Source organism: Homo sapiens, chromosome 1 (genome assembly GCF_000001405.40).
Source record: "Homo sapiens chromosome 1, GRCh38.p14 Primary Assembly".
Taxonomy (NCBI): domain Eukaryota; kingdom Metazoa; phylum Chordata; class Mammalia; order Primates; family Hominidae; genus Homo; species Homo sapiens.
In genome coordinates, this window is record NC_000001.11 from 152,819,531 (window position 1) to 152,828,097 (window position 8,567).

Below are 8,567 nucleotides of genomic sequence, written 5' to 3' on the forward strand. Positions count from 1 at the left end.
ATTCATAGCTCTGTATCTAGAATACTATAAGTCTTCAATAAAGAGTAGCTTCTCTTGATATTTTATAAGTGTTGCCACTACTACTACTGCTACCCTTAGTATCACTACTAACTACTGTAATCATTACTTACTATTACTATTAGCAGCATTACTTGCTATTTCCTCTATCTGAAGTTCCTCCAAATCTCTCCCCACCATCTGGACATTGTGTAATTCTGTCCCTCTTTTAAGGTTCACCTCAAATGTCATCCTTCTATGAAATCTTATCCGATTGTGTGTTTTCTTAAGCTGGTGGATGTTAAAAAATCTGTCTACAACCCTCACATTGAGCAAGCTTAGCTTGGAGGATGTAATAAAATTATAGCTTTTTAAAAATTTAAAAATTTTAAAAGTAAAATTGTCCTTAAAATTTTACTCAGTGGGATGGTTTTCCTTCCTAAATGACAAGTTGAAAGGCCAACTGACTTTACAGCTCTTTCAAAGTAATGCAAAATGATTTGTTACTTGAAATCACAAACGTGGGCCCAGTGCAGTGGCTCCTGCCTATAATCTCAGCACTTCGGGAGGCCCGAGAGAGAGGATCACTTGAACCTAGGAGTTTGAGACCAGGTGCGGCAACAAAGCAAGACCCCATTTCTAAAACAAAAAAATTACAAACTTGGTTTCAGTTCAGTAATGAAATATCCAGTCAGAAAAACAATATCAACGCCAAATTTGACTGGTTGGTTGATTGATTTTTTTTTTTTTTTTTTGAGACAGAGTCTCACTTTGTTGTGCAGGCTGGAGTGCAGTGGTGCAATCATGGCTCGCTGCAGCCTCAACCTCCTAGGCTCAAGTGATCCTCTCACCTCAGCCTACTGAGTAACTGGGACTACAGATGCACACCACCATGCCAGGCTGATTTTTGTATTTTTTTTTTTTTTTTAGAGACAGGATTTTGCCTGTTGTCCAGGGTGGTCTCGAACTCCTGGCCTCAAGAGGTCTGCCTGCCTCGGTCTGCCAAAGTGCTGGGATTACAGGCACAAGCCACTCTCCCCGGCCCCAAATTTGACTGAATGGCATATTTGCCCATATCCCTGCTCCAGTGGGCTGGCCCACCATACCAGAGAAAGGGAGCCTGGTCCTTCTACTCATTCCCCACCTAATGTCTGTCCTTCTCCAGCTTTCTAAATGTATTTTCTGAATGGAGAACAAAGAAAAGGCTCAGTCTGACATGTAGGCGCAATATCCTTCTGATACTGGAGCAACCAGGAAGCAGAATCCAATTTCTGACTCCTCCACTCTTGGGCATTTTAGTGTCTCCCCTCTATCTGTGATGTGAGTGATGCCTCTCCAGGGTGAATTTCTTGAAGTTCAGCCTTGGTTCCAGAATCTTCTCTTAGACAGTGGATAAATGGCTAAGAACAGTTGGTCTTGACAATGTGATCAACATCTGGTCATAGAAAGCACTCATGCATCATTTGACCCATGCTTGCAGAGGAACTAGAAACTCATCTTTGCTTAGATGACAAAACTGGTTTCATTTCCTCCATGTTTCCTGAGGGAAGAGTCGGGTCCTCATTCTGTATATCCCCCATATCAGGGACTCACCTGCAGGCTCCTCCCAGGGAAAGGACAAAGAGGGCAGGATCCTAAGCTTCTAGTCCTAGGAAATTCTCTTTCTTCCTTTTGTTTGCCGGAAATCTAGAGGATTTTTCTTATCCACCACAAGTCCCATTCTGATAAAATACTTATCTGTAACTTTCACATAATTAAACCCCAAACCTTGAGACTGGTGCAAATTTAAAAAAAAAAAAAAGAATGTAATAGTATATATATATATATATATATATACACATATATACACACACACATATATGTATGTATATATACACATATACGTATCTATGTATACACATATGTATGTATACATATATATACTATTAAATCTCTCTCTATATATATGTATATATACACAAAGAATTAAAATATGATGATGCAGGTGATGGTTATCAATGGGGAAAAGATGGCTATTCAATACCTGGAGTTAGGGAATTTTGATAACTGAAAAAAAAACGTAAACCCTCATTTAGTATTAGATGCCAAGACAAAATCCATGGGATTAAATATTTTGAGGAAATCGAATTATAAAGAAAGAAGTACTTGTAGCTAAATGTTTATCTTCTCCCAGGATTGAGAAAAACATTCTCAATATAAAAACAATTAAAGAAATTATAAAGAAAAATAAGCACAAATACATGCATATTAAATTAAATATTTTGCTAGAGAAGAGGAAAACAAAATTAAGTAAAATAATTTTTTGAAATATTTTAATATATATGAAATATAATAGAGTAATACCTTACTATATAAGTATGTGTTAAATTTTACATATGTATAAATTTCTTAAATAAAATATTTTACACAGATACAAACTTAAAAGGATTTCCTGGTAAACACTGCATGCATGTATTTTCCACTCATATTGAGAAATAAATAATCATAAATATGATTGAAACCATCCCCTTATATATCCCTTCTACCTAGAGATATTCATTATTCTGTATTTTGTGTTTTTCCTTCCTGTGCAATGCATATACTTTCCTGTGCTTATCTATCCTTAACTTATAATTTATTTATAAGTTAAAAATGTAACAATTCCTCTGTACTTAACTATACTTTATTTGTACTTAGCTATATTTTATTTATAACTTATTTCTATATTAGTTATAATTTGTATTTTTAATTTTCTAAAAGTGATCTACTCCATGACTTTGAGACATTTATCTATGTTGATACAGATGACTCAATTTCATTTTCATTTATTCTCACTATTGTATAGCATTCCAGTGTAAGAATATTCATACTTTACTTATGCATTCATCTGAAATTGGGTACTTACCTTGTTTTCACTTTGTACTTTATAAAAAGTGCTACTTTTTAACATTCTTACACATACTTTGGAACCTTTGCATCCAAGGCATACACTTATGAGAAGAATCAGCATGTTATTCAGTATATCTGCCTTCATCCTGACTAAATATTGCCAAATTACTCTTCAAAAGTTGTACTAATGTACATTCCCATCAGAGTACATGAAAATTTCTGTTATTCAACATCAATGAGAAGAATAAATAGTGAGAATTTTTCACTCTTACCAAGGTGATAGATGTGAAATTATATACCATCATGGTTTTTTCTTGCTTTTCTCTGATTCCTAGCAAGGTTGAAAAGCTTTTTCAAAAACATATTGGTTATTGGTTATTCAGGTTTTCACTTCTGGAAATCAATTTTCATGTGTTTTTCTCATTTTTCCTTTGGGTCATTGCTTTCTTCTCACTGATTTGTAGGGTTATTTATTTAGATACTAATTTGTTGTCAATTATATGTGTTGCAAATATCTTTTCATAATCTGTATTTTCATCTTTTGTGATGTTTTCTGGTTAAAGAAAATTTAATATAACCAAACTCAAGGGTTTTTGTTTGTTTGTAATGTGTTTGTCTCTGATGTGAACACATGTATATTATTTAGGAAATCTTTTCCATCAAAAGTCCATAAGGTTATTCTATTAAATCATTTTTGAAAATTTTAAATATATTTCTAAAGTTTTGTTTACTACATTAGATCTTTGATTTATGGAATTTATTTTAATTATATGGTGTGAAGTAGAGGCATTTATTTATTGCCCAAATGAATAAACAGTTGGTATGGTATCATTTACTGAACTGATTACTCCTAACCCACTTTTCTGTAATCCTGCCTCTGACACATTTCAGGGGTTCATACATGAATGAATGACTTTTAGTTCTTATAACCTGTCACATTGTTCCTTAATCAATAAATCACAGTCTGAACGACAATTGCTTTATAATTATTCTTGGTGTTTTGTGAGATAAGTTCCCATGTATTCTTCTTCATGGTTATCCTGTCTATTCTGGGCCTCTTGCTGTTTGATTTGAGTCGTAGAATCAGCTCATTAAGTTCTGTTGAACTCTCTCTTGTGGTTTTCATTAGAATTACATGGAATCCACAGGTTGACTTGCAGAAAATTGACGTTTTTAAGACAATGTTTCTTTCTATTATGGTCTACTTTAATGCGTTTCAATAAAATGTTGTAATTTTTCCATTTATTCGTCTTTTAGAGATATTTATTCTTAGATGTCTCATATTTTTGTTACTGATATCTATGGTTTTATTTTTAAATAACAATTTCTGATTATTGGTGTATATGTGTTCTATAACATAACAGCTTCAGTCAAGAAATAGCTTTTTATGCCTAAATGTAGAACCACAAAATAATTTTAATTATTGTCACATGTGCCTTTATATGCCTCTTTCACAATTTAATACCCTAAGTATTAAAATAAGTACTTAGTAGTAAGCGTTTCCAATTTACCTTATTACAATACCATAGTTAACACTTTTGAGTATTTAGATTTTCACATTTTTATAACAATCTCCATAAAACGAAAGCCTGAAAATTGGAATCTCTAGGTCAAAATATATGTACATTCTACATTTTTAATTATTTGAACTCACCAGTAAATAATATCTGAATGAATCAATAACCAGTTTGCCTTTCAGAAAGGTATTCCATCCACAGTAACTTTTCCCTCCCATATCCACCCTTCGTTTGTAAAATTTTTAAATCTTTGCCTATTTAATATGAATGCATAAATTCCATAGAGAAAAATAAAAGACAATTATTTTTATACATGTATTTTTCACTATAAATCTAACATTTTGCGTTGCCTGCTTATCTCTTTTGTCCATTATTTTCATGGAATTTTTTTCTTATTACTTTGTAAAGTATATTTGCATGTCAACAGTGTTAATCTTATTCCTGAGATATGTGATGTAATTTCCTCTCAATTGGTCACTTCTCTTTCAGGAGTGTTTACATGTTGCTCTTTTCCACATGAAGTTTTTATTCAGAAATAAATAAACATCACGTTTTCCTTTTGTAACATGGTTTTGGGAGCCACCAGGCATAAGAAATAATGAACTATCCTTTTCTACTTTAAGAGTGTTATTTAATAATGTATGTTATAAAAAAGGATCTAATGGGTGAAAAAAATAACCCATTAACATACTAGGTGCTGATTCCAAAGCATAAAGTACGATACCACTCAGTATGAAGTTCGAGTGATTCTTTAAAAATTGAACATTTCCAAAAATGTGTTAATTAATAACCAGTTTACAGATGGACATAGAAACAATTAGAAAAAAAGTATTGCAGTCATTCCTATAAATTTACAATGTGGGACATAATGCTTTACTTTTGATTTGCCTCATAGCTGCATTCTAGATCTCAGCCATGTCAGCTTCCAAGCCTTGATAACAGAAGATCTAAAAAGCCAGTCACTTGCTTAATAAAAATTTTATGAAATTTAAGTCACTGACATCATACAATTAAGGCAAGCAGACCAACCTTTATGAGGTTTCAAACCTGCTGCCAACTTACCATCCAGATCTAAATCAGACTGATTGACATATTGAGTACCACATCACTAGAGGCATGGATCATGTGATCCCTCAGGCCAAGTATCCTAAGAATCAGTGAGTCTGCTTCTGAGTAAGACTTACCTATGAGCCAAGGTATTGATATCCTGACCACTCCCTTATAACAAAGCCTTTTGTAACAACCTGAGCAGGAAAAGAAGAGTCACACTCAGGCAACATAGGTACAGATCTCTGCAGGATGACATATCCTCAGCATGTATGTCTGCATGCTCCAGGTTCTTATGCTGATAGCCTAAGTCATGTGGAATAACTATTCATAAACTCTATAGTGCTATGCAAATGCTGGCTTCATGCCTGACCAAAAAATAAATGTGTGTGTATATACATATATATGTACATACATATATGTGTATATACATATATATGTACATACATATATGTGTATGTCCCAGCTACTTGGGAGGCTGAGGCAGAAGAATGGCGTGGACCTGGGAGGCAGAGCTCGCAGTGAGCCGAGATCATGCCACTGCACTCCAGCCAGGGCAACAGAGCGAGACTCTGTCTCAAAAAAAAAAAAAAAGAAAGAAAAAAAAAAAGAAACATGCACACAGGCACACACACACAGGCACCCACACACGTAAACAACTCCCAGTGGCTAAGTGGTGGGACACATGTGAAAAAGCTAAGAGGCTTCTGTGTTTCTTTGTTCAAACCTGGATGCCTGGAGCTCATAAATTCACATTGCTAGAGGAAGAAGGAGAACATTTGGGGGACCACATTTCAAGAGCGAGAACTGAGAGGTAGGCACCTCTAAGAGAATAAGGTACCAGGTGGTGGTAGGAATTCACTCCCACCCCATTTCTAAGTCATATTCCACACTAGGAACAGCTCCCCTGAGCCCCGTGGAGAAAGGCAGATGTGGAGCTGCCAGTCACTCCTTGTCACAGGACCCATGTGGGTGTCAGGAGACAGATCCTTTCATTCCCAGGCCCTGTCTCACAGCTGGAGGCAGAGCCCAGGCCAGGATAAAAGGGCTCGTGGCCAGAGCACCCCATCCATTCACCTCCTGAGGTGCTGAAGGACCCTGTGCTGCCTGTGACCTCGGTAAGCGTCCACTGGGAAAAGGAGCAGGGGTTCCACAGAGGGATGCCCAGACCAGGGCAGGAGGGAAGGCTGGGCAGGGCTTTGTTGGGGAGGGGTAGCTGGATTAGAAGAGGTGGAGAATGTCTAGAAATTCTGATGGAGTTCAAGCTGTGGGGCAGGAGAGATGGGAAGCACCTGGATGATTTGTATGTCTATGCTTCATGCTCTAATCCAAATTAGTTCTGTATTTTTTTTAGTGTCTCCCATTCCAGATAAGTTAAAACAAACTTTCCTTTCAGAGAGTAGATCTTAGCAACTCAACTGTGTCTCTTCCCCGAAGCCTGTACTGGGATTATAGTGGTTCTTAAATAATGGAGACCGGAGACCAGAGGAAGCATATTTGGAGCTTGATAAACACAGAGATACATGGCCCTTACACCTTCATCAGGAGTGAGTTAGTCATGAGTGGTGCCTGGGCATCTGTATATCAGAAGCTCCAGTGTTGAACAGCAAGTAACAAGTTGAAATTTATGGTTGCCAGGGTGGCAGATAGAGGAGTCTGTGGGTTCTAAGAGGGAGCTTCACTAGGCATGGATTCACCAGACCGGGAAATCTAGGGTCACGTGTCAGCTTGCTACAATTAGCTTTAGACCTCATTTCTCCATTTATAATATGATTTGGGATAGCCAGCTCATATGATGACCCTTTGCAATTCTGACTATAATATATTGTGTGTTTGTGTCAACCAAATACAGCCATCTGGGAAGCTCCTACAAAAGGGAATCTTTATTTTTATTTTATTATTTTATTTCATTTATTTTTGAGACAAAGTGTCATTCTATTGCCCAGACTGCAGTGCAGTGGCATGACCTTGGCTCCCTGCAGCATTGGCCTCCTGGGCTCAAACGATCCTCCAGCCTCAGCCTCCTAAGTAGTTGGGACTACAGGTGCGTGCCACCATACCCAGCTAATTTTTTTTTAGAGATAGGGTCTTCTTGCTTATTTTTTAAAAAGCAGAACTGCAGGTTTAAACTGGCTCCTAGATTGGACATTTTCAGAATTCTAAGTGGTGCAGAAGGGTAGACTTCAGTCAGATTCTGTGAATGTCAGATTGCCTTTTCCACTTAAAGGACATTAATTTTGGGCAAGTTTGTTAATACAGATGTCCTCATTATATTGCTGGGTTAAAATAAGATAGTCTATTTCTATTTTATAAAAACATCCTGATGATCCTATAACACATTGTGAAAGCATCTGACAAACAATTTTAGAGATAATTTCTCTCTGACTTATTTGAACAGGTTTTAAAAATGTAGCAAAAATAAATGATGGTAAAAAGGCAATAAGGGTGGCCTCTGTGCCTGGCTGTAACTTGCTGTTTGACTCTCCTTCAGCTCCTGAACACCCACCGCCGAGATGTCCTGCCAGCAGAGCCAGCAGCAGTGCCAGCCCCCTCCCAAGTGCACCCCCAAGTGCCCTCCCAAGTGCCCCACTCCTAAGTGCCCCCCAAAGTGTCCCCCTAAGTGCCCTCCAGTCTCTTCCTGCTGCAGTGTCAGCTCCGGAGGCTGCTGTGGCTCCAGCTCTGGGGGCGGCTGCAGCTCTGGGGGAGGTGGCTGCTGCCTGAGCCACCACAGGCGCCACAGGTCCCACCGTCACAGACTCCAGAGCTCTGGCTGCTGCAGCCAGCCCTCGGGAGGCTCCAGCTGCTGTGGAGGGGACAGCGGCCAGCACTCTGGAGGCTGCTGCTGAAGCGGACTCTGCACCTAGAAGAGCAGACTCGGGTGAAATGAGTGATCAAACATTTCCTCCTCACCTGTCTCCTCCTGGGCCTGCAAGAGTGGCTGAGATGCCCGCGTGAAGGCTCTGAGCTCTGGCCTAGAGGATCCCTCTGCCCTGGGATCCAGAAACTTGATTCTTCTCCCACAAACCTATCTGCTGCCCCTGACACCAACTGTGTTGTCTACTCTGGGATCCCAAGCCACAAACTCACTCTCCAGCTCATTTCCTGCAGCCTCAAGTGAAACAATAAAGCAAAAGATCT

General features: G+C 38.1%; 1 protein-coding gene across 1 annotated transcript; it reads left to right on the plus strand.

Annotated features, from left to right (window-relative positions):
* Nucleotides 1–7,942: 7,942 nt before the first annotated feature.
* LCE1A (late cornified envelope 1A) lies at nucleotides 7,943–8,567 on the plus strand. The gene has a single exon (NM_178348.2). The coding sequence runs from the start codon at nucleotides 7,943–7,945 to the stop codon at nucleotides 8,273–8,275; it is 333 nt and encodes a 110-aa protein (NP_848125.1). The 3' UTR covers nucleotides 8,276–8,567.

Bases quoted from the DNA above. Each gene is read 5' to 3' on its own strand.
- LCE1A (NM_178348.2), top strand. From the start codon at position 7,943: ATGTCCTGCCAGCAGAGCCAGCAGCAGTGCCAGCCCCCTCCCAAGTGC.